General features: G+C 33.8%; 1 protein-coding gene across 26 annotated transcripts in view; it reads left to right on the forward strand.

The window, feature by feature from the left end:
• The window catches only part of SLC4A10 (solute carrier family 4 member 10), a 360,855-nt gene that overhangs the window by 212,052 nt on the left and 121,939 nt on the right, over positions 1-26,864 (forward strand). For 24 of the 26 annotated variants that reach the window (NM_001354461.2, NM_001354447.2, NM_001354441.2 and 21 more), the window contains 3 exons: positions 3,322-3,460; positions 18,503-18,663; positions 26,407-26,595. In NM_001354461.2, the coding sequence (NP_001341390.1) occupies positions 3,322-3,460; positions 18,503-18,663; positions 26,407-26,595 (489 nt within the window). Of the gene's footprint in view, positions 1-3,321; positions 3,461-18,502; positions 18,664-24,146; positions 24,253-26,406; positions 26,596-26,864 lie in introns of those variants that run through there. The other 2 variants (NM_001354455.2, XM_017004551.2) reach the window with 2 other exon arrangements.

Consider the following 26,864-nt stretch of genomic DNA (forward strand, 5'->3'; position numbering starts at 1 on the left):
AGTGTGGGTGACAGAGTGAAAGAAAGAAAAGGAAGAAAAAGAAAGAAAGAAAGAGAGAGAGAGAGAAAGAAAGAAAGAAAGAAAGAAAGAAAGAAAGAAAGAAAGAAAGAAAGAAAGAAAGAAAGAAAGAAAGGAAGGAAGGAAAGAAATGAAAGAAAAGAAAGAAAAGAAGAAAGAAAATTTCTGGAAAAAAAAAAACCCCATAAACTTACACATTGAAGAAGCTCAGGGTTCCCACAGGATAAATGCTAAAATAAACAAACACCAAAACAAAACCCCAAATCCCAAAATTATTAAAAAGTATCATAACCAAGCTTCTGAAAACTAAAAACAAAGAAAATATTCTAATAGTAGCCAGAGAAAAATGCAACAATGATTCCAATGATTGCAGATTTCTCATTAAGAAATATGAGGGCTAAAAGGAAATGGAACAGCATTTGAGAATGCTGAAAGAACATTTAGTCCAGGATTCTATATCCACTGACATATTCTTTAGGCATGAAAGTTAAATAAAGGCATTCTCAGACAAAGGGAAACTGACATCATACTTATTCATGAAAGACTGTTTTCCCCCTGTGACCAGGAACAAAGTAAGCCTGGCCACTCTCATCACTGCCACTTAATATCGTACTGGAATTCTAGCCAGTATAATAATAAATAAATAAATAGAGAAAGAGCTTGGAAAGGAAAAAATAAAATGGTTCATATTCACATATATATGATCTCTACCTGGAAAATTCCGTGGAACCTACAAAAAAATTAGAAATAATAAGTAAGTTTAATAAGGTTGAAGGATACAAGGTCACATGAAAATAAATCACATTTCTCTACACTAGCATTAAAAATTGGAAACAAATTAAAAAATATAATAGCCTCAAGAAATGAAATATCTAGGTATAAATTTAACAAAGCAGGTAGAAGATCTGTGTTCTGGAAATTATAAAACCTGATGGAAGTAAATATTTTGAAATGAAAGAAGACCTAAATAAATGAAGATACACATAGTTTCCATGGGTTGGAAAAATCATTACACTTAAGGTACTATTCTCCCTAAATTGATCCATAGATTTAGTGCAATATCAATCAAATTCCAAGCAGGAATTTTGTAGATACAGAAAAACTTGTTCTAAAATGTATATCAAAAGGCAAAAAGATTAGAATAGCCAAACAGTTTTGAAAAAGAAGAGCAAAGTTGGGAGACTCATACCATCTGACTTTAAGAATTACTCTAAAGCTATAGTAATCAAAAAAGTGTGGTATTGTCAAAGGAATAGACAAAGCAATGAACTAAATGTTTGTGTTCCCCCAAAACTCATAGGTTGATATTCTCACCCCAATATGATGGTATTAGGAGATCGGGCCTTTGGGATGAAATTAGGTCATGAGGGTGAAGCCCTTATGATTGGGATTAGTGCCCTTATAAAATGAACCTGCTCTCTCAGCCTTTTCCACCATGTGATATTACAAGGAGAAAACAGCAGTTTGCAACCCAGAATAAGTCCTTCACTAGAACCTAACCATGTTGGCACCCTGATTTCAGACATCCAGGCTTCAGAACTGCAAGAAATAAATTTCTGTTGTTTATAAGCCACTCAATCTATGGTACTTTGTTATAGTATCCTGGACTGACTGAAATATAGGCCTAGATCAATGGGACATTTTAGAAAGTCCAGAAAAACAGTCCAAACAAATATAACTAATTGATTTTTGAAAACGGCACAAACCATGAAGAATATACTTTTTCTGTGTCTTTTATTTGGGTCTTTTCCATAAATGGTATGATATTGGAACAATTTAACATCCATATGCAAAAAATAAAAAAAAACCCTTGAATTAAACCTCATATCTTATACCAAAATTAACTCAAAATGGACCATAGCTTCAAGATGTAAAATATAATATATGAAACTTTAGAAGAAAACATAAAAGAAAATCTTTGTGACCTTTAGGCAGAGAGTTTTCAAATTTGATACCAAAGCATAATTTATAACACACACACACAAATCAGAATTTATCAAAATTTAAAACTTTTCCTCAGTGAAAGACACTGCTAAAAGAATATAAAGTCAAACTATAAATGGGGAGAAAAGACAAATATTGCAAATCATATGTTCAAAAAATGTCGTGTATCCAGAATGTATAAAGAAGTCTCAAAACTCGACAGTAAGGAACAGACAACCCAATAAAAATAAGCAAAATGTTTTCATAAACACTTTGCCAGAGAATAAATATGGATGTCAAATAAACTCAGGAAAAATTGTCAACAATAACCATTATAGAAATGTAAAGTAACACCACAATGAAATACCACTACATAGAATGGCTACAAAACAACTGATAATACCAAGTGCTGGTGAAGATTCAGAACAACTGCAACTCTCTTGCATTGCTCCTGGGAATGCAAAATGGTACAGCCATTCTGGAAAGCAGTTTGGCAGTGTCTCAGAAAGCTGAACATAAACTTATCATATGACTAGCAATCCTACTTCTAGGTATTTACCCTAGAGAAATAAAATTTATGTTTACACCAAAGCCTACACAAGAATACTTATAGCAGTTGTATTTATAATTGGGCCAAGCACTAGAAACCCAAATGTCCTCCAGCAGGTGAATGCATAAGCAAAGAGTGGTACATTCCTGCAATGGACTGTTACTCAGCTATGAAAAAGAATGAACTACTAATACACACAATGACAGATAAATCTCAAAATCTCAAAGGCATTTGCTAAGTGAATAAAGCCAGTCTCAAAAGGTTATATGCTGCGTTTCCACTTACATGACATTTTGCAAAGGCAAAGCTAGCAGCAGAGACCAGATCAGTGGTTGCTGGGGGCTACAAAAGGGAGGTAGGAATGACTACAAAGGAGGATCACAAGGGAGTTTTTTTGGTGAATAACATTCTGCATAGTTTTAGTATAAATGAATTTTATCATGATCTACTCTTCTGAATATTACCCATAAAATATACCATATATGATGAGAGAAAATGAGTATATGTGTCTGAGAAATAGAAATAGTCTCCATGAGTGTTAAAAATAATCCAAAATAATAATCATATTTTATTTATTATTTATTATATGTATACATTAATATATACATTTTACATATTTATTTTCCCCAATTATACTGGACTTCATGTAATGATGAATTTGGTTTTAGTTCCTGAGTTTGATTTGGATGAGTGTTGCAGTGGGGAGCAGGGGAGGTGTGAGCTTGGGGTGGTGCGAGCTTGGGGTGGTGCTGAAGGCAGTGACTGGGACATTTTAAGCTCAGGGTCGTGGTAATACATGTTCATGGTAATACATGTCTCTGATTTTTTAGACACCCCATCACAGAGGGTACAGTTTATTCTTGGAACCGAGGATGATGACGAGGAACACATTCCTCATGACCTTTTCACAGAACTGGATGAGATTTGTTGGCGTGAAGGTGAGGACGCTGAGTGGCGAGAAACAGCCAGGTGAGGATTTTTGTTAAAGGGTGAAGGTATACTAAAGAATTTTCATGTTACTAGAAAAAGAGATTTCTAATGCAACAATTTTGCAAACATCTATGATTGCTGCTGATTTTAGAAGTTGCTCATCTAGCCTGAGCATATCCTATAACGGGATATGGGTCAGAAAGAAATCTGAAGGCAGTAATTACAGTAAACGGTGATGCAGAGCCAGCAACAGCTGCAGTCTTAAAGATAAACAGTAACATAATTTGTGTGTCATCAACAAAACAAAAGAAATCTAAAAGTAGTTTATTTCTATTTTTTCAGCTGCTGGCTTGCACCTAAATTTATGATAGTATATGATAACTTGAAAGTGGGCTTTTTTTAAAAGAAAGGGCAAATATTATGATAAAATGCTTTATGTACAGTCCTGGATTTCATGTGCTCTTTCATGAGGATAAAAATAATTTGTAATATGTTTCTAGGATATGCATACATTTAAGCATAGTGGTTTTTAAAAATATCTTTTAAAATCACTTTTTCTATCATTTGTAATTAAGATTTTTACATTGCTATATAATTGATAGAGTTCTGTAAAGTTGGAATTAAATTTTGTGTTTACTTTTCATTCATTCTTTCTGATTTGCTCAGTTAACAAACATTTATGGAGTGTCCATTATGTGCCAAGTGCAATGGATATGGCACAACAACAAAAATCTTAGATCTTGCCTTTAGGGATCTTGCAGTCTAATTTAGACAAGAAAACAAAGTTGTAAATGCTGTATAATGAAAGCTGTGATACAGGTGTGCACAAGAAACTGTGGGCACACCCAGGGTTGTCATTTACCCACTTTTTCACAAATTTTAATGTGACTACCAATCACCTGGAATATTGTTTAAAATGTAGACTTAGTAGGCCTCAGGCATAGTCAGACCATGAGGATGTCGTGTAAAATGTTTTGGGTTTGAGAACCAAACTTTGAGTAGCAGTTATCTAAACCACGAGGTGAAAGAGAGGATCAGGGTAGCTTCCCTGGAGGAGGCGATTCTTGAGCTAGCTCTTGTGAGTTGGGTTGGAGTTAGCTAGGCAGAAAAGCAGAGGGGACAGTATTCTAGGCAGAGATAGCAGGACGTGCTTAAATATATCATTGACACAGGTTTAGTGTTTATTTATTTATTTATTTATTTGTCTGAGACAGAGTCTCACTCTGTCCCCCAGGGTGGAGTGCAGTGACGAGATCTTGGCTCATTGCAACCTCTGCCTCCCTGGTTCAAGCCATTCTCCTGCCCCAGCCTCCCTAGTAGCTGAGACCACAGTCATCTGCCACCGCGCCCAGCTAATTTTTGTATTTTTAGTAGAGACAGGGTTTCACCATGTTGGCCAGGCTGGTCTCGAACTCCTGACCTCAAGTCCTCTACCTGCCTCAGCCTCCCAAAGTGCTGGGATTGCAGGTGTGAACCACCATGCCCCTGCTGACACAGGTTTTATTGTTTTGTTAGGCTATCTCTTCCACTGTAGGACAGCATTATTATTAGAAAGACTTTATCTTAAGCATATTTATTAGTGGTCCTCAGATTGCAATTGCTGTCTGAAAGCCACAGTAATTCCATTGGATCATGTTAAACTTGTAGCTGCATTTATTCATTGACTTTACTCAGTGTAGAAATAAATGCTCAATTATGAAAAAGAATGTTGTGAATAACAATGGCCCAGTTAATTCTTGTTTGATATATTTTCAGTGGTCTTTACAGCTCTCCTTTATTTAAAAAACACTAAAAACGAGACAACCAAAATGGTTACCAACTAGTTTATCCTTATTAACATTTTAAAGTAAATAAAACTAATAACTGCCAGTATTTAAAATTCACAAGGTATAGGATGGCAGAAAAGTAAAAATACTTCTCTATGCTTATTCACAGTATCTCTTTTCAAAAGTAATCACTGTTAATCTTTTCTGTGCATCTTTCCCCCAAAATTTAATAGCTAAATCTGCGTGTAAATATATGCCCTTTTAAATTTACACAATAGGGATTATATAATATACAGTGTTCATATCTTATCTTTTCCACTTCATATATTTGGAACATTTTCCATATCAGCAATTCAAATTTATATCATCTATTTGATGATTGCATTGCATTCAATTATATGGATGAACTTTCATTTATTTATTTATCAGTTAGTCTTGATAGACATTTAGGTTATTTATTTTTTTCCATAAAAACCACTGCAGTGATTGCTCACACAAATATTTTGTCATTATTTTGTAGGTATTTCTGTAAAGTGAATTTCTAACAATGGCAACATATGTAGCAAAGAGAGCAGACATTTTTTCCTTTGATAAATACTGTAAACTTACCTTCATAAAATGTTTTTCTAATTTACACTTCTATCAACAGTGTATGAGAGTGCTTATTTCCTCCACATCCTTTCACAGTAAATTATCAAACTGCTTAAAATGTCTTTTCCAGTTTTATAAATAAAACATAAATCTCATTGTTTTAATTTGATTATTCAAATTATTAGTGAGGTACAACATCTTTTCCTATGTTTTTATTTTTTTCATGTGAACGAACTATTCATTTCCTTTATTTATTTTATATAAATCATTCATTATTTTCTTTATTTGCCTTTTGGAACACTTTAAATTGGTGGCATGTTATTCAGTATGAACTAACCTTTTTAATAAAATAATTTACATAAGTTTCCTCATGATGTTTTGTATTGTAATACTTTAAATATAGACTTAAATTTAAAATAGTTTTTATTTAACCTGGTACATATTAAGATTAAGAGACTTCTACCTTACTTTTTGTCCCAACTGCATCAAAAACTACGTAGTAGTTTTAAAAATGTGTAATATATGTGCTCATCTTCTTTATTTGGTGACAGAAAGGGAATATAAGATCATTTTTTCCACAGATTAGTGATATAACTTGCTCTTTTATGATTTTGATAAGTTAAAGTTCCTCCCTCCCTGTTTAAGACCAGAAGCATCTGTCTGCCACGAGTTACAAGGAACAGATGTTCCTATGTGACTTGAAGGAAGGCGATCTGGTGATTGTGATGACTAGACAGCTCTGGTTAGTTAGAGTCTCTTTAACCTATTGCTAAGAAGTATTTTGTTGAAGCATTTATTTTAGAGTTCCTTCTTTACCCTCATACTACATAATAGAGCTGAAAAGTAAAATTGGAATATATATTTGGGCAAGAGTAACTCACTTATTCTTACAGTGATTGGTGATTTTTCATCTTACAGATCAAATAGTGACCCATTCATTTTAACCAATAATTTCTTGTAACTTGCCCACTCTCATAAAGCTAGGAGATTGCAGAAGCGATACTAGAATATAGCACTCTCACTTTGTTACAGTTGAGCAGGTAGGTTTTTGTTATGCTCTAATGGATTAACTCAATAACATGTTTGTCCTAAACCATCAAAATATATTGCTGTTGATTTATAAAGAATAAAAAGATAGTCCATTTAATTATACACATTCTCTAATATTATTAGATGGACCTATGTTTGTAGCCAAGCTTCTAGAATCTAATGCATGCTATAGCTGTTTGAGCTTCAGGGAGACATCTGATGAGCAATGGAAATAATAACAGATATTGAAGGGGAGGGTAGATGAATTTTAACAGAGACACAATGATTCAGGGAAGGGCAGAACATATTTATTGAGGATTTCGAAAAGTAACAGGTTTTAAAGTGGCAGAAGTAATTTTGTTCTGATTGCCCTAATTCATCTAAAAACACTAATTTTTGTTAATTCATGACTCCATCTGATTTTTCACATGCAATTTAATTCTAGAAAATCATTAGCATCACCATTTAAAGCACTTCTTTCTTTTGATTAGTATTCCAGATGGGATTAATAATTTTCTACCCTCACAGCAGAAACAAAAAGATATTTTATCAGCTCATTCCACCTGTCACGTATCACATCTTGCATAATTTATGCCCACTGTCATTGCCAAGTAAAACTTAAGCAAAGTTTTAGGTTTTGAAGCTAAATTTTTGAATCATAATTATTTAATAAATGTTCGTAAAAACCAGCTGGTCACTTTTAAAAACCCTAAAAGAAGCCATATGAAGAGACTAATGAAATCAACACAATTACAATGTCCTGCTTATAAATAACATGTAATGTTATTAATAGAAAAGTGAGCAAAGCTACCACAGCTGTGCAGTTGTGGCGACAACATGTTTGACTCACTGTAGTTACCCTTTATAAAAGCTTCCCACTAATGAACTCAGAAGAGGCAAAGCAGGGGGTAGCGTTAGGCTTCTGATACATACATACATGGCAGAATAGAAAAGGATTATTACATCAGAACAATTTTATTGATGCTGTGAAGGCATTTGATCTTCAAAATTAGTAATGGTTTAAGTCATCTGGATTTTTTACGGGAAAATAATGTGGATTAAGAACAGGTGTGAAAATAATATGGATTAAGAACAGTTAATGTCTATAAACACTAGGTTTGGATGTATATCATTTCCCCTTAAGATGACTATAGGTATTCTTTGATTACATGTTATTCTCTAGCTCCACCCCAGCCATGTCCCCCAACTATCCTAAAAGAGGATGTTTTTTTCTTGAGACATCCATTATTTCCCCGAAGGCTATAATTTTGGATGATATAATAACTCCTTTTGGATGATAGACTTACTCTTTTTTTGTTTGGGTAGAATGAGAGGATTAAAAATCTTAGAAAAGTTAAACTGAGTTAGTGAGAATAGAACACCCAGAAAGAGTTAAGTTCTCTAGAAAAAACCTTCTCTAGAAGCACCTAATTGGCAGAATAATTTTATTCTGTATATTTTAATAGGAGTATTGTAGAGGAGATTATAATAAACTTAATCCTCAAAGAATTCATGAAACACCTATTTAATGTTGCTTAGTGGAAAGAGACTCCAATGTGCTAATCTTGGATGAAAACAGATCCAGACATACTGAAGGAAATGAAAATAATCTTCTCAGGGTTTAAATCCACCCCTCTCTCCCCACAGAAAAGGTCGTGCAATTGGCCAACAGTTTTATTTATTTATTTTTTAGCATTATCCCTCACATCTCATTCATGCTTTGAAACTCTTGTTTGCCTTGGTTTGCTGTTCAAACAAATGTCAGCAGAGTTTATTTGAAAACTGGAACAAATTGCAGCACTTTAGGTCATTAACTGCAATCAGGCATTTTGCAACTGACAGTATATTCAGTGATTACAAATCTTGAAACAGTGTCTGGTGTGCTCCCAGATCTGTTCATGTCTATCTTTGAAGGATGAAATGGGATTTAAAAGAACAGAAAAGAGAGATATAGTTATGTATTTATGTGTATGTATTATTTTTAATAGTCTCTTTAACAATATTCATTTAAATATCTCTTAAAGAATTGGCATCATTCTGGAGCTGGCATAGAGCACTGAATCTTGAAATGTTTAGTATCTTTAGTAACTTGATATTTGTAACATGTGGGCACCTTTTTATGGAAAGTACCTTCTGCCTCCTCCTATAATACTCATAAAACCTATGGGTACATCAAACCATCCATGCATATAACTTATATTTGGTCATCTTAACTAACAAACTGTTTGGAACTCCCTGAAGTTCCAAACTCTCTGAAAAGAACTCCATTCTTTTCTCAGAGAATTAAGCCCTCAACTTGAAGAAAATTATTCTAAAGGAAGGAAGAATAATTGGATTTTTTAAAATGTCATTTCAGACACATAAATCACTGGAACGGAATAGAGAACTAAGAAATAGACCAGCACAAGTAAAGCTTACTGATTTTTGACAAAAGACAAAAACTATTAAATGAAGGAAAAATAATCTTTTTGAAAAATAATGTTGGAGCAATTAGACACCTACAGGCAAAAAATTAGCCTTGATATAAACCTCACCATGTACATAAAAATTAATTTAAAATAGTTTATAGATTTAAATTTGAAACATAAAGCCATGAAATTTTTAGAAGAAAATATTAGATAAAATCTTCAGGACCTAGGGCTAGGTGGCAAGTTTTTAGACATAACACCAAAAGCGCAATTCGTAAAAGGAAATATTTATAGATTGAACTTTACCAAAATTAAAATGTTTGTGCTGTGAAAGATTCTGTTAAGTGGATGAAAAGGCAAGCTACAGACAGAAAGTATTTGTAAACCAGATATTCAACAAAAGTGTTATATGTAGAACATATAAAGAACTCTCAAAGTTCAACAGTATGAAAATAAATCAACTAGAAAAGTGGGCAAAAGGCACAAACAGACATTTCACCAAAGAAGAGATACATATGGCGAATAGCACATGGAAAAATGTTCAATATCATTAGTCATCAGGAAAATGCAAATTAGAACTGCTCTGAGATATTACTGCATACCTAATAGAATAGTAAAAATGAAAAAATAGTCATAATAACAAATGTTGGTGAGGATTTGAAAAAACTAGATCTTTCATACATTGCTGGTGTGAATGTAAAATGGTAGAGCCACTTATGGAAAACAGTTTGACAGTTTCTGATAAAACTAAACATGCATTTACTATATGATCCAGCAATTGGACTCTTGGGCATTTATCCCAGAGTAATGAAAACATGTTCACACAAAGACCTCTGCATGAGTGTTCACAGCAAATTTATTTGTAATGGCAAAACCTGCAAACAACCTGAATGTCCCCCATGGGTGACTGATTAAACAAACTGATACATCCATCTTTATAATGGAATATTACTCTGCAATAAAAAGGAACAAACTACTGATACACACAATAACTTGAATGTATATCAAGGGCATTATGCTTAGTAAAAAAGTGTCAATCTCAAAAGGTTGCAAACTATATGATTCCATTTATATAACACCGTCAAAATAACAAAAGTATGGTGATGAAGAATAGATTAGTGGTTTCCAGGGGACAGAAATAGAGTGAGGATTGAGAATATAAAGGTGCAGCACAAGGGATTTCTTTTGTGGTGATGGAACAGCTTCGTATGTTGATTGTGGTAGAGGTTACATCTATCTATACATGGGATAAAAATGCATAGAATGGAGGCAGGGCATGGTGGCTCATGCCTGTAATCCCAGCACTTTGGGTGGTCAGCTAAGGCAGGAGGATTACTTGAGGCCAGGAGTTCAAGACCAGCCTGGGTAACATAGTGAGACCCCCATCTCTATTAAAAAAATACAAAAAAAAAAAAGCCAGACATAGTACCTGGCTATGTAGTCCCAGCTACTTGGAAGGCTGAGGTGGAAGGATCATCTGAACCCAGGAGGTTGTGGCTGCAGTGAGCTGTGATTGCACCACAGCACTCCAGTCTGGATGACAGAGTGAGACTATGTCTCAAAAAAGTTTTTTTTAATGCATAGAACTGCACACACACACACATACACACACACACACACAGCAACACACAGAGCCCAAATCTTATCAGTATTCTTTTTTTTTTTCTTTCCAACTTTTATTTTAGGTTCAAGGGGTATATGTGCAGGGTTGTTTCATGGGTAAATTGTGTGTTACAGGTTTGGTGTACAGATAATTTTGTCAGCTGTTAGGTAGTTTTTCAATCCTCCCATTCCTCCACCTTACCTGATAGATATTTTTTGTCACCGAATAGGTAGTTTTCGATCATCCCACTCTCCACCCTCAACTAGGCCTCAGTGTCTGTTGTTCCCTTCTTTGTAGTCCATGTGTATGAATGTTTAGCTCCCACTTGTAAGAACTTGCAGTATTTAGTTTTCTGTTCCTGCATTAGTTCACTTAGGATAATGGCCTCTAGCTCTATTCATGTTGCTGCAAAGGCCATTATCTCATTTTTTATAGCTGCATATTATTGCATGGTGTATATGTACTACATTTTCTTTATACAGTCCACCACTGGTAGGCACATAGGTTGATTCCATGTCTTTGCTATTGTGAATAGTGCTGCAATGAACATACATGTGCATGTGTCTCTATGGTAGAACGATTTATATTCCATTGGTTATATACTGAGTAATAGGATTGCTGGGATGAATGATAGTTCTGTTTTAAGTTCTTTGAGAAATGTCCAGACTGCTTTCCACAGTGGCTGAACTAATTTACATTCCCACCAGCAATGTATAAGCATTCCCCTTCCTCTGCAACCTCACCAGCTTCTGTTATTTTTTGACTTTTTAGTAATAGCCATTCTGACTGGTGTGTGATGGTAACTCATTGTAGTTTTGGTTTAGATTTCTGTAATGATTAGTGATACTGAGCATTTTTTCATATGCTTGTTGCTACTTGTATTAGTATGTCTTCTTTTGAGAAGTGTCTGTTAATATCTTTTGCCCACTTTTTAAATAGGGTTGTTTGTTTTTTGCTTGTTGATTTATTTGAGTTCCTTAAAGATTCTGGATATTAAACCTTAGTCAGATGCATAGTTTGCAAACATTTTCTCCTACTCTGTAGGTTGTTTACTCTGTTGATAGTTTCTTTTACTGTGCAAAAGCTCTTTAGGTCAATTAAATTCCACTTGTCAATTTTTGTTTTTGTTGCAATTGCTTTTGGCATCTTCATCATGAAGTCTTTTCTTTGGCTGATGTCCAGAATGGTATTTCCTGGATTTTCTTCTAGAGTTTTTATAGTGTTTTTGGCCTTACATTTAAGTCTTTAATTCATCTTGAGTTGACTTTTGTATATGGTGAAATGTAGGGGTCCCGTTTCAATCTTCTGCATATGGCTAGCCAGTTATCCCAGCAGCATTTATTGAGTAGGGAGTCCTTTCCTCATTGCTTATTTTTATTGGCTTTGTTGAAGATCAGATGGTTCTACATATGTGGCTCTATTTCTGGGTCCTTTAACCTGTTCCATTGGTCTATGTGTCTGTTTTTATACTGATACCATGCTGTTTTGGTTACTGTAGCCTTGTAGTATAGTTTGAAGTCAGGTAGTGTGATGCCTCCAGCTTCATTCTTTTTGTTCAGGATCACTTTGGCTATTTGGGATCTTTTTTGGTTCCATATGAATTTTAGAATTTTTTTCTAATTTTGAAAAATGTGCACTTTTTTCTAATTTTGTAAAAATGTTATTGGTAGGTTGATAGGAATAGCACTGAATCTGTAAATTGCTTTGGGCAGTATGCCATTTTAATTTTGATTTTTTTCCTATCCATGAGCATGGAATGTTTTTCCATTTGTTTGTGTCATCTCTGATTTATTTCAGCAGTGTCTTGTAATTCTCGTTGCAGAGATCTTTTACGTCCCTGTTTAGTTGTATTCCTAGGTATTTTATGATTTTCATGGCTATTGTGAATGGGATTGCATTCTTGATTTAGCTCTCAGCTTGAATGTTATTGGTGTATATAAACATATACCATTTGCATATTGATTTTTGTATCTTAAAACTTTGCTGAAGTTGTTTAGCAGATCTAGGAGCCTCAAGCAGAGATTATGGTTTTCCTAGGTATAGTATCATATCATTTGCGAAGAGAGATGATTTGACTTCCTCTTTCTCTATCTGGATGGCTTTTATTTTTTATTCTTTTCTGCTTCTCTGGTTAGGACTTCCAGGACTTATGTTGAATAAGAATGGTGAGAGTGGGCATCCTTGTCTTGTACCAGTTTTCAAGGAGAATGCTTTCAGCTTTTGCCCATTCAGTATGATGTTGGCTGTAGGTTTGTTGTAGATAACACTTATTATTTTGTGGTGTACACCTTCAATGCCTAGTTTTTTGCGGGTTTCAAACATGAGGGGATGTTTAATTTTATCAAAAGCCTTTTCTGCATCTTCTGAGATGATCATGTGGTTTTTGTTTTTAGTTCTGTTTATGTAATAAATAACATTTATTGATTTGCATATGTTGAACCAAACTTGCCTCCCAGGAATAAAGCCTATTTGATCATGGTGGATTAGCTTTTTGATGTGCTGCTGGATTTGGTTTGCTAGTATTTTGTGGAGGATTTTTGCATCTATGTTTATCAGGGGTATTGGTCTGAAGATTTTTGTTGTGAATCTGCCTGGTTTTAGTATGAGAATGATGCTGGCCTCATAGAATGAATTGGACAGGAGCCCCTCCTCCTTGTTTTTTGGAATAGTTTCAGTATCCGTTCTTCTTTACACATCTGGTAGAATTTGGCTGTGACTCCATCTGATCCAAGGCTTTTTTCTGGTTGATAGGTTTTTTTTATTACTGATTCAAGTTTGGAACTCATTATTGGTGTGTTCATGGTTTCAATTTCTTTCTGGTTAGGCCAGGTACACGGCTCACACCTCTAATTCCAGCACTTTGGGAGGTTGAGGTGGGTGGATCACTTGAGCCCAGACATTTGAGACCAGCTTGGCCAAAATGGCAAAACCCTGTCTCTACTAAAAATACAAAAAAATTAGCTAGACACAGTGGTGTGCACCTGTAGTCCCAGCTACTTGTGATGTGAGGCAGGAGAATCACTTGAGTGCAGGAACAGAGGTTGCAGTGAGTCAAGATTGTGCCACTGCACTCCAGTCTGGGTGACAGAGCAAGACTCTGTCTCAAAAAAATAAAATAAAATAAAATAAAAATAATTTATTTCTGGTTTAATCTTGGGCAGTTGAATATTCCCAGGAATTTATCCATTTCTTCTAGCTTTTCTAGTTTGTGAGCACAGAGGTGTTCATAATAGTCTCTTAGGGTTTTTGTATTTCTGTCGGGTTAGTAGTAATGTCTCCTTTGTTTTCTGATTGTGTTTATCTTTATCTTCTCCCTTTTAAAAAATTAGTATAGCTAATAGTATATCAATGTTATTTATTCTTTCAAAGAGCCAAGTCTTGGTTTTGTTGATCTTTTGTGTGATTTTTCTCATCTCCATTTTATTCTGTTCAGCTATATTTTGGTTATTTCTTTTCTTCTGTTATATTTGGGATTGGTTGGCTTTTGTTTTTCAAATTCCTTCAAGTGTAATGTTAGGTTGTTAACTTAAGTTGTAAGTTTTTCTTTTTTATGTCGACATTTAGCAGTATAAACTTTCCTCTCAACACTGCTTTTGCCCTGTCCCAGAGATTCTAGTATGTTGTATCTTTGTTTTCATTAGTTTCAAGGAATTTCTCGGTTTCTACAGTTACTTCATTGTTTACCCAAATCATTCAGGAGTAGGTTGTTTAGTTTCCATGTAATTGTATGCTTTTGAGAGATCTTCTTGATATTGATTTATATTTTTACTGCATTGTGTTCTGAGAGCATGTTTGGTATGATTTTGGTTTTGTAAAATTTGTTGAGAATTGCTTTATGGCTAAGTATGTGGTCAATTTTAGAATATGTGCCATCTGCAGATGAAAAGAATGTATATTCTGTTTTTGTTGGGTGGAGTGTTCTGTAGATGTCTGTTAGGTTCATTTGGTCAAGTGTTAAGTTTAGGTCCCAAATATCTCTTGTTAGTATTCTGCCTCAGTGATCTGTCCAATGCCATCAGTAGGGTGTTGAAGTCTTCCATGATTATATTGCCATTATCTAAGTCTCTTCCTAAGTCTCTAAGAACTTGTTTTATGAATCTGGGTGTTCCAGTATTGGGTGCATATATATTTAGGATAGTTAAGTCTTCTTGTTTAATTGAACACTTTATTTTTATGTAATCCTCTTCTTTTTACTTTCTGAATGTTTTTGGTTTAAAGTCATTCTTTTCTGAAATAAAAACAGCAACCCCTTTTTAGCATTCTTAAAATTTAAAATTTTACTTTCAAAGGAGCCAAGATGAAATGATTTAGATGCTTTGTCACTTATTTAGTCATCTTCACTGTTATCCAGAAGTAAATTTTAACTATAAATTTTATTATAAGAAAGGGTTTTATCATTCTATATAGATCAAGAGGCCCAGGAGTATTTTAAAAGTGAATTTGTTATTAATGTTATTACAGCTTACAAACAATATTATTGTATGGGTAAGTTTATAGAGTTACACTTAAGTAGTTAAGAAACAATATGATTTTTTAGTAATGTACGAAGACTTTTCAGGATTTTGTACTTGAGTATAATTTTTGGAGATTACATTTAATTCAGTTTATTTATTTGTTCTTTTGAGGCAGGATCTCACTCTATCAGCCAGGCTAGAGTGCAGTGGCGTTATCATGGCTCACTCCAGCCTCGATCTCCTGGGCTCAAGCAATCCTGCCATCTTAGCCTTCTGAGCAGCTGGGGCTACAGGCATTCACCTCTACACCTGGTTAACATTTTTTATTTCTTGCAGAGACGTCATCTCACTGTTACCCATCGCCTCACTGTTACAACATTTTAGAATCAATTGTATAAACAGGGATGACAGAAAGTACCATAGTTCTAGAAACCTTAATTGAGGACATTTTCCATAGAGAAAAACCTGTATTTCCTTAAATAGCATTACACCCTTTTAAAACTCTAGGTTTTCTTTACCACCAAATAGACTAGAAAGTAAATTTCCAATTTAACAAAGTTCTTCAGTCAAAATAACACCAGCATACATGCTATTATATAGTCTCCCTTCCTTTTGCTCTTTTTATCTGAAATCCACAGCATATGTCAGTAGATTATAATTTAATTAGAAGATTTAATAAAAGTTGTATCCACTCCCCTGATGCCACTTCCTTATGGAAAGTTTCATTATAGCCCTTCCACAGAATAGTATGTTTGAGTCTTATTCACAAAGGAAAACCATCTATTTTTATCTAGCACAGTAGGCAATAAAGAAAACAAATTGGAATAATATAAAAGAAAAAGTGAGAACAAAGAACATTTTGCAACTTAAGATTGGCTCCAGACATGGATGAAAATTAAATGTTAAATCAGTTGTTTCTGCTATAAGCATTAGCATAAGATCTTTGAACTGAAAAGGACTATAAATTCAATTCAAATTACTATATTATGGTGGGAAATGGGCACAGGCTCTGGAGAAAAACAAAATTTTAAAAAAAACTTAGAGTTGGATCCTGGCTTGACAAGGTCACTGGCTAGGTGATCTTTGGAAAATTATTTAATGTGTTTAATTTGTCTCATCATTTTACCTGTGAGAAAACTGACCCAGAGAAGTTAAAAGACTTTCCTTTTATTACATGGTGGTTTAGCTGTATAGAAAAAATATAAATGTCTTTTTATTCTCAACTAGTTGAAGACACTTTATGTAATACTATTCCATTAAAATGTCTGCCAAGAGGTTGTTCCTTTGTGATATTGAAATCATAATGTGACTATGGCCTTATTCTCATATCTGACAAGAAATAGTAATTTATATTTATTAAAATCATATTTACTTTCACCATTAATTCTGATTAGGATTTTTATGCTGATATGATTAACGAAAATGGTGATCTATGTCAGTTGGGATAGGCTAAATTATGCTATAAAAAATACCCTGCAATCTCAGTGGCTTAAACCCATTTATTTATGGCTCACAATTCATGTCCATCATGAATCATTGGGGTTTTGCTCATCTGTTCATTGTATTAAATAGTGACTTAGAAACCTCAGCTGATAGATCAGTCTTCACCTTGAACTTTGCTTGTTGCATGTCAAGGAAAGGATGAGCTCCAGAGGATATCCTCTTGCCAATTAAATACTCCAGTCTGAAAGTGACACACACATAATTTCTGTTCCCACCTCATTTCCAGATTTAATCACAGACACATGGACTCACCCAATTAAAAGGGAGCCAGGTAGTGATGTTCTACACTTTCCTAGGAAGAGAGGGAGAACCAGTTATGACATGATATGACCATCACATGATCTATGAGGTATTATGGCCCTGTTTAGGACTGAAAAACTTTAGGAATAACTAATATGAAAACTTTCTGTGTAGACAAAAATGTTCTATAAAATTCCCAGCCTTGAAGAGATATACTGTTGGTGATTTGTGGCTTAAATGTAAGTTTTTTCAATATGGCATATCTATTCTTACCTGATTGTAAATTTTGGCAGGTATAAGTATTCTTTTCTATTGGCTTCCTTTTCACTTTCTGACATTTTTTTTTCTTTTTGCTTCCTAAACACTAAAAACAGATCCATAGCTTTCCTGATCTCTCTTACTACTCTGCACATTAATCATTCTGACTGTCTCTTTTGGTTAGTTACTTTTGGCTAATCCACTTGATTCCCTAACTAGTTACTCCCACATATTTGTTGTGTGTTGAAGGTGGATCATTTTATTACACAAAATAGTAAGATAATATAATATAGAGGATTTGAATGATATTGCTTGGAGAGAGAAATTGGGGTCAAAAATGACTAAGGAGAAAAGGAATGAGGGAAATGGTGGAGATGGAGGTAGGCAAGAAGATTTAGGCTAAGGTTCATTAGAAATGGTGAAACTAAATTGGTCATCTATTAGGATTAGAGACCAAATTCCTAAACGGATAAGAATTAAGTGGCTTGTGCCAGAGCAATAAAATCACTGGTTTCTCTTTATCTGTTCCATTTATCTTGCTTATAGACAATCTAGGTATTACTATTCATTTCAGTCCAAGAAGACAGTGGTCCCCCATTTGACATCATGACATCAAGGTTCTTCTCTGATTATCCATCCTGGCAGAAACACCCAGGGATGGGGTCTGAGCTCAATTCTCACATATTCAGTCCCTAGGAAGTGACTGCTATCACTAGCTTTCATCCAAGCAAGCCTAACAAGGATTTTTCCTATGCAACAGGCCCCTAATTATGCTAGCCTCCCTCAAGATCTTATAAGAAAATTACCAAGAGACTAAAATATTCAGGTTTAAGACCTCCCACTAAGGAAAAATAAGTATTCTTTCATTTTCTTTTTCAATTACCATTAACTTTCCATGAAGTATACACTCTTTATTAGTGCTACATAAGATTTTCTCTGACCACTGGTTAAACAATTATATTTAAATATTTCTTCAGAGTTAGACAAGTTAACAAAATAACATGAGTTTTCCTTTTTTTCAATTATTTTTTAATTGCAAAAAGAATATGAGTTAAATGGAATTAAAATGAAATAAGCCAAATGGCTTAGACTAGCTTTTATATACTTCCAAAACCTATGAACCAAGACACAATATGACTATTTTTCTATTTCAACCTTTTATTTTTGGTATAAAGGATCATTAACCTACAATATAATATAAACTGTGCTGATAATATTTGTTTGTATAGGTGGTTGAAGTTTGAAGAAGATGTGGAAGATGGAGGAGAAAGGTGGAGCAAGCCTTATGTGGCTACTCTTTCATTGCACAGCTTGTTTGAATTGAGAAGTTGTATTCTGAATGGAACTGTGTTGCTGGACATGCATGCCAACACTTTAGAAGAAATTGCAGGTATATCTTTTCCCCCTTAGTGTATTTTATAGGTACAGCTAATTTTTTGTTACTCTCTTTTCCTTATAATTCAATATACGTATGAACTTTGGAAAACTAATTCTCATAATCACTGCATAAGGTCTTAAAAGTCATTTTCTTTTACCCTGTTATTTGAGATAAAAGAAGTTGAATCTCAGAGAAATATGCTCTAGTTTGGCAGTGCCAAGTCTAGGACAAGAACCTAGATATCTTGATTCCCATTCACCATTTATTTTCATTATCATATTTAGACTCTCACCATTAGAAAATTAAAGGAAAAAACCTTAGAGCTAGATACTTATTTTCAATATTCAAACATATGAAATAACCAAATGAAAAAATTTCAATATACAGAAAAATGTTGGTTTAGAATGGACACAGAAAGGTACGGCCATTCATTTTAAACTTAATTAAAACCCTTGAATTCCAGAGGAAGCCAAGTGATACAGTTAGGATTCGTTTTGTAATTCAATACTATAAACTGATGAATGATTAGTATTATAATTCAATGATATCTTATAATACAGACAGGTATATTTAGGAAATGTTATTATTACAGAAATTGAGTCAAAGAACTCCTGTATCTTTTGACCAGAAGGCAAACATATTTTAGTAAAAACAAAATAATACAAAAAGACAGAAATGAATTTTGAAAGAGTATAAATGAAATAATTGATGGAGGTTTTAAAAACACAAACAAAGAAAAGAGGCAGTTGAAAAGTTATTAGTTTGGGAAAAAATAAAATTCATTCCATATGATTTGTATTTGTGAAGTGAAAAAACTTAATATCTTAATCATATTGTAGAGATGAAAAACTATATGTGTGTTTTTAATCATGTATATGAAAATAATATATTAGAAAAATAACATATCTACTTTAATCTGCAGAACAGCCCCATGAAGTAGATGTCATTCTCATTTTCCAATCACAAAATAGAAACTCTAAAATTGTCATGGCCTAGATTTCACCCAAGGGCCCCTGACTTTAAGCCTAGTGTTTTTTCTATTACACTACAACTGCTGTCTGAAGAAAAAGAAATGTCTTGAAGTGAATGTCACCCAAATTTTGATGGCACATTTATCACCTTAAAAATTATTGATTTAGTCATTGGTGCTGATAGGCACTGCAGTATGTGTGAAAAGAAAAGTAAGTACTGAAAGATACTTTGGCTTGAAATATTAAGCAAAAACTCCAAAAATACTAAAACACACACACACACACACACACACACACACACACACACACCACACTGCCCCAAATAGGAAAGATAAGCGGTCCTCTTCTGTTTCATGTAACACCTATAAAGAGATTATTCTTTAAGTTACATAGCTAGAGCCTGAAAGACTTTATAAAGTTAAACATAAATGTATAATTTTCAGAAATATCCAGGCTACTGTAGCTGCACTAAATCAAGAGAAAATAGAGAAAATGATTAACTCAGAAATAAGCAAACTCCCTAAGAATGCTGAAATAGTTAGCTATCCAGCTCAATTTCTTAGCTTTACATTATATGGTCTTGCTAATACCCAATAAACATTTTTATATTTTAATTAGGAATGAAACAGCAGGCTTTTCACAGTACTTTCAAGTATGGGAAGCTCTTAAGTTTGTAATTATCTTTTTAATGCTCAAACCTGGTTCTTAGTATTATTATTGTTATCCTTATTTAATAAAGAAAAAAACTAAGATTTAAAAGGTTAAAGGCCTTGCTCTAAGGCGTTTATTTCTGCCGCTTAAATCGATGATGGCGCTACCTTTAAAAATAGATTAATCCAAATACATTTTGAAATGGGAAACAAAACTGTCACATTCTACCACCTGGCAAAATTAGCCTCAGAACATACCCTTTATACTTTTACCAGTCTTCACATTTCTTAAATTATGTAATTTCTAATGCTTTCCTCAGAAAGTTATTCCTATGAAGAAATTTTCTCCCAGTAATTTGACTAAAACACTTCATTTTATCACTTTAGTTCACTTTCATTGTCCAAAATTATGCAAATTTTTCCTAACTCTGTCCCTGTTTCCCAAGCTCAATTCTGTAGAATATGTGAAGGTTAACTGGGTTAAATCTAGCCTTTTCAAGCAAATTACATTCTCTAAGTCTACCCTTACAGTGAAAGTAGTTCAGTTGACGTCTTGATACCCTAAATAGCTTTTTAGTATTCTTTCTGCTCTTCTAATTAGTGTGTATCTTTCTGACTTTGAAGTAGCCCAACCTGAATGTCCCATTTTTCAGTGTAGAACAGCCTGTAAAATGACATTTAGAATGTGTCAGTGGTTTAATGCTAACATCACAAAGAAAAATATGATTACAAATATTTGTGTTGATCATTATTACTTTAGATTCCTTTACTGTCATTACTAAGAAGAGATTTCCTCTCATTGAAAACTATAATTTGGCTAAATTTAAAAGTTACTTATTTATCCCCTCAATATAAACTCATTAAAATATTTTCTCTCTATAGTTTGTAATTATTTTCTTATTTTTTACTTCTCCTATTTTCATTTTATAAAAATTGAGGGGCATTACTAAGTTTGTAATAAATAAGCATGCTTTCCGTTTTTAAGACTTCTAACTTTGCAAAGTATTTCCACATAATTATGTTTTATTATCATAACAACATATAAAGTAGGAAAGAGACTATTTCACCATAAACAGATAAATAGAAAGTTCTTTATCAAAGATGACCTTTGCAGAAATAAAAATAATTTTTTTATTAACCTATAATCATAATATTTGGGGATGGGATCTCCTATGTTGCCCAGGCTGGTCTTGAACTCCTGGGTTCAATTGATCCACCTGCCTCAGCTTCCCAAAGTGCTAGGATTACAGGCATGAGTCACTGTGCCCAACCATAATTTTTGTTTTATTCTGTTTCATGATCATTTGTGGCCATAGTGATTAACAATCAGCCCTGAAACTTTTTCCTCAGCTCTTATTTACCATGATTTTTCTCTGTTAGCCATAATTCACATACATTAGTCACTAGTTTCAGTTTTACAAACGCTAAGTGTAAGAGCTTACCTTTAAGGGTTCTAATCCCTAGTACTTTGTGAATACACAGGCTTTACAGTATTGATGTTTTTCAGACATTTCCTACTAGATGAATATGACCCAGATATTGTTTTGTAATGATCAAGGATTTTTATATCAATGTTTTGATATGTTTTTAACAGACTCGGATAATTCCTTAAGAGATTTTTGTAGACTTAGTAGCAGAAAATCCCATTTGTATCTGGCAGATCTGTCAAGAATTTCTGATATAATTAAAGTAGGATTTTCTTTTGGCTAAGTTAATTTAAAATATATCTGTTTCCCAATGTTTCAGGAAACTCAATAAATTTAAACTTTATCCTTCAAAATATTACTTAACCTTTTCAAATCCAAAATTCTCCAGATATATCTTCTTACCACAATTTACTCTGATATGGAGATTAATTGTATTGAATATGCTTCTGAATTATATTCATATAAATTACAGGGAATTTTATGGTCTATGTTAATCTCTTTGAAATTAAGCATTATAAAGATTAATGATGGAAATATCCTCTCTGCAGTGTGTGTATACTTTAACCTAATTCTGTCAATGAGAGTTAGGAAGAAATTAAAACCAAACCAAAGTTGGTACCATGGACAGATTATCAATCATAGCTCCCAACTCATTTAAACAACCTTTGTTGTTTAAAATCTTTCATTGAAGGAAGAATCTACAGTTTGCTCCACTGAATGTAATCTGTAGAGTTGGGAGTATAGGAATAACCATATATTTTTTAACCTGCCTATACTGTGACAATCCTTGGTCTGAAAAGTAAGTATTCTATTACAGTTTACATCTTTAGTACACACATCCCTGTTAGTGCTGGCAACCAAACCACAGAATTTAGGAACTTCGTATCATATTCCCCCCCACCTCTCCCAATATCTTTTAAAGTTAAGACAATGGGTTTTCAAAGCATTGATATGATGATCTTCAAAAAGGCAGAGATTTATGTAGAATCTGCAATATGTCATAACCTCTAGGGGCTTTCATTCAAGATACATTATGATAAAATAGTTATCTGATAGGATGAAAAACAATTTTTCATTTTTCTGAGGCCTTTTTCCACAAGTGCTACTAGTTTTTCTTTTCTTTTCTTTTCTTTTTTTTTTTTTTAGACGAAGTCTCGCTCTGTCGCCAGGCTGGAGTGCAGTGGTGCGATCTCAGCTCACTGCAGCCTCCGCCTCCTGGGTTCAAGCAATTCTCCTACTTCAATCTCTTGAGTACCTGGGACTACAGGCACACGGCAACATGCCCAGCTAATTTTTTTGTATTTTAGTAGAGACGGGGATTCACCACGTTGGACAGGGTGGTCTCAAAGTGCTACTAGTTTTTCTAGAGTCTGCTTAGTGTTAGCAGAGTGTGACCTATTTGTCCTTTTTTTCTTTTCTTTTCTTTTCTTTTTTTTTTTTTTTTTTTTTTTTGAGGCGGAGTCTTGCTTTGTCTCCCAGGCTGGAGTGCAGTGGCGCAATCTCGGCTCACTGCAAGCTCCGCCTCCCGGGTTCACGCCATTCCCCTGCCTCAACCTCCCGAGTCGCTGGGACTACAGGCGCCCGCCACCACGCCCGGCTGATTTTTTGTATTTTTAGAAGTGACGGGGTTTCACCGTGTTAGCCAGGATGGTCTCTATCCCCTGACCTCGTGATCCGCCCGCCTCGGCCTCCCAAAGTGCTGGGATTACAGGCGTGAGCCACCGCGCCTTTTCTCTTATCACCCAGATCCTGGGGCAGAATAGACTGTATTATGTAGGCATAATAGCTTGCTGAGATTGCAGGACTTCACTCTGGACCCAACGTCATTATGGTCCGTTATTCTTTCACACTTTTCAAATTAATACTAATATGTATTGTAGTGGTGAAAAGAACAATGTAAGTGATTACTAATTCAGATTCCTTTTGGTACTTAAATGTCACCCTAGTATAAATTATATTCTTAAGCAAAATGAGTAATTTTTTCCAGACAAGTAGATATAATTTGATACAGTTATACTTTGGAGAAGTTTGCTGTGTATTTCTCTGTAACTAATGAACAGATGAGTGTGTTTTTTAATATTTACTTTTCTTTACATAACTGTTTCAAATAAAAATCTTATCTTTGAAAAACTGTGAAGATAGTGACCTATGGCTTTTTTAGTGTTCGAGCCTGGAAACATTGTGCTTTAATAGAAATTAAAAATCATAAACATATGTAGGGTTTATTATGTGATTACTTTTGATTCTGACTAGAATATTGAACTGGGAATTCATATCATGGCTTATATTTGGAACTGCTTTACAATAATATCATATTGATATTCTAATAACCTACTTTACAACTTCCATTATGAAGTATATGCATATTTTATATACATTTTTCCATCTTAGCAAGGTTTCAGTGTAATGTCATATACGTTGACAATTTATTATTTCCTTTATTTCAGATTAACCCAGGGGTATTATAACTACTGATCTCCAAAGAACTGAAAAATAGATTTAAATATTATTCTATAGTATCACACATTTTCAGAATTGGAAGGGACCTTTGAGGTAATTATAGTGACTGACTTTCAAACATTCCAGGTATATAATATGGGTAACTTCCAAATATTCTTTCTACCTCTTTCCATTGTAAACACAAAAATGATAGAGCACACTATATCCCACGTGCCACATATGGCCGACTGCCTGATTTTGTAGGGCATTTGAGCTAAGAATGGTGATTATATTTTAAATGGTTGAAAAATAATAAAAAAGAAGTTAATATGTTGTGATGTGAATATTATATGAAATTCAAGTTTCAGCATCCTTAAAAAAGTTTCATTGGAGCATAACCAGGCTCATTTGTGTACATGTTGCCTGTGGCTGCTTTCTTGCTACAAAGGCAAAATTCAGTATTTGTGACAGAGATCATATGGCCTACAATGCCTAAAATATTTGTTATCTGGCTCTGGACAAAAAGAGCTTGTCTTTCTCTGGTTTAGAGAATTAACTCTAGAGTGAAGCGCAGTTCTTGATTAGCCTGTCAGTCATATGAATACCATCTCCTTTGCCAGTGATTGGTTCAAGATGGGCAGGGCTATGTCAGTTAGACTTAGGATAATTTTTCCTGGCCAGGTGAAAAATAACTCATCTAAGAGAAAGTCACAAAAAAACAATATATTTCTCACTGGATATGAACAAAAATATATATTTCCTTGTTGCTGCTGGAAGCCACCTTATGACCATAAGGAAAATCAGCCTGAGGTTAAAGCTTACCCTAGAGGAGGAGGAAGTTAACAAAATCACAGAGAAGCAGAATTATAGCCAACCTAACTTTGATCTTTCTATTATGTGAGCCAATAAAATTGTTTTATGTAGTTTAATTTGGGTTTTCTGCTATTGATAAGCCCAGCTTTGTCTCTACTTGATAAGCTGTCACAAAATATGAACATATTGAAACCACCACAAATTTCAAACCAGGAACCCATAATCTACATTATGAAAATTACAAAGAAAATCTTGTTCTGGGAAATATTTACTGATAGCCTCAATATTCCAATCAGTGCATCAGGTGCCTTATGTCATTAGTCTTGGCACCAATATATGATATAGATATTATTATCTCCATTTTACAAATAAGGACACTTAGGTTATTCAACTTTGCAAAGTTGTCTAGCTAGAATGTCATAAAGTGGCCCAAATCTGTCTCCTAGTTCATTTCCATTTCACACTGAAGGAAAACATTGTTGGTAAGGGAGCATTCTGCTAACTTTGAAACCTTTATTGTACTCAAAAAGGCAGTGGAAGGCAGCTCATTGTAATCTGCTTTACATAAGATGTTAATGCCTAAAAAACAATTAGAGTTAATGTTTGATAATCAGAAAGCAGATTAATTACACAAACATCCATTGATGTGATCTTTATATCACTAAGAAACTTAAAATACCTTTACTTATCTATTTTACTGACATTTTTGATACTATGTATGGTAAATAATCTGCTTAATTATAGACTTCTGAAATCTCACCTTCCAGTCTTTGTTTTGCAGGTATAGAATATCTTTTTAATCTAACATTCTCAAGGGAGTGTGTTTCCAGCAAAGTTTGAGAAAGGGCTGATTTTCTATCCATATGAAACAGAATTGTTTACTCTCCAAATTCAGTAACTATATCACTTCATAGGCCTCTTTGCATCAGATTTTCACAGATAGACTTTTGTTCACTTAATGGGGAAACAAGGAAATTAGTCTGTACTAGAAAATGGGAAAAAAATTAAAATATAAGTATAAAACCAATTTTCAAATTCAAACACGTTATGAATTGTGAATTCAAACACATTATGAATTTTCAAATTCAAACACATTATGAATTTTGATATTATCTCTACAGCTATTCCTCCCATCAGTGTGGATAATAAATAAATAAAGAACTTTCTTCTCAATGCAACTATTCCCATTTGAAAAATAATACTTCATAAGAATTATATATTTAAATAGAATGGTTTATAATGAAAATTTGCCCAAATCTTTCTTATTCAACATTTCTACAATGGAAGATAAATTTCCATTTATAACAGCATGCTTAGAGATTTTTTAAAGAAGTTATTTCTATTTCAAGATGAATAATATTGTTTAGGGCTTGCATATTTGGACTCAGTGGTTCACGGCTGGCACACGTTCTAGAGGAAAGCTGTGCTTATCTTCTTCCGGCCTTTTCTCTTCAGATATGGTTCTTGACCAACAAGTGAGCTCAGGTCAGCTGAATGAAGATGTACGCCATAGGGTCCATGAGGCATTGATGAAACAGCATCATCATCAGAATCAGAAAAAACTCACCAACAGGATTCCCATTGTTCGTTCCTTTGCTGATATTGGCAAGAAACAGTCAGAACCAAATTCCATGGACAAAAATGGTAAATGTTTATTTATTGTGCTCTTTATGTCTACTATAGGTCTCTGACATATCAAAGCGCTTCTAAATCTTTTAAAACTTGTTTTATTTGAAAATGATTTTTTGAAATTCAGATTATTGTAGAATTCTTTTCACATGAGTATATATTCTTATTATCAAGCATCAAGTTGTAAAAATTTTAGAAAAGAACTTAAGTTTCCTGAAAGGTTCAGGAAAAAAATGCAAAGAAAACTAATATTTAATAAAAAAACTTTTAGATTTGGCTGCAGA

Source organism: Homo sapiens, chromosome 2 (assembly GCF_000001405.40).
Source record: "Homo sapiens chromosome 2, GRCh38.p14 Primary Assembly".
Lineage (NCBI taxonomy): Eukaryota > Metazoa > Chordata > Mammalia > Primates > Hominidae > Homo > Homo sapiens.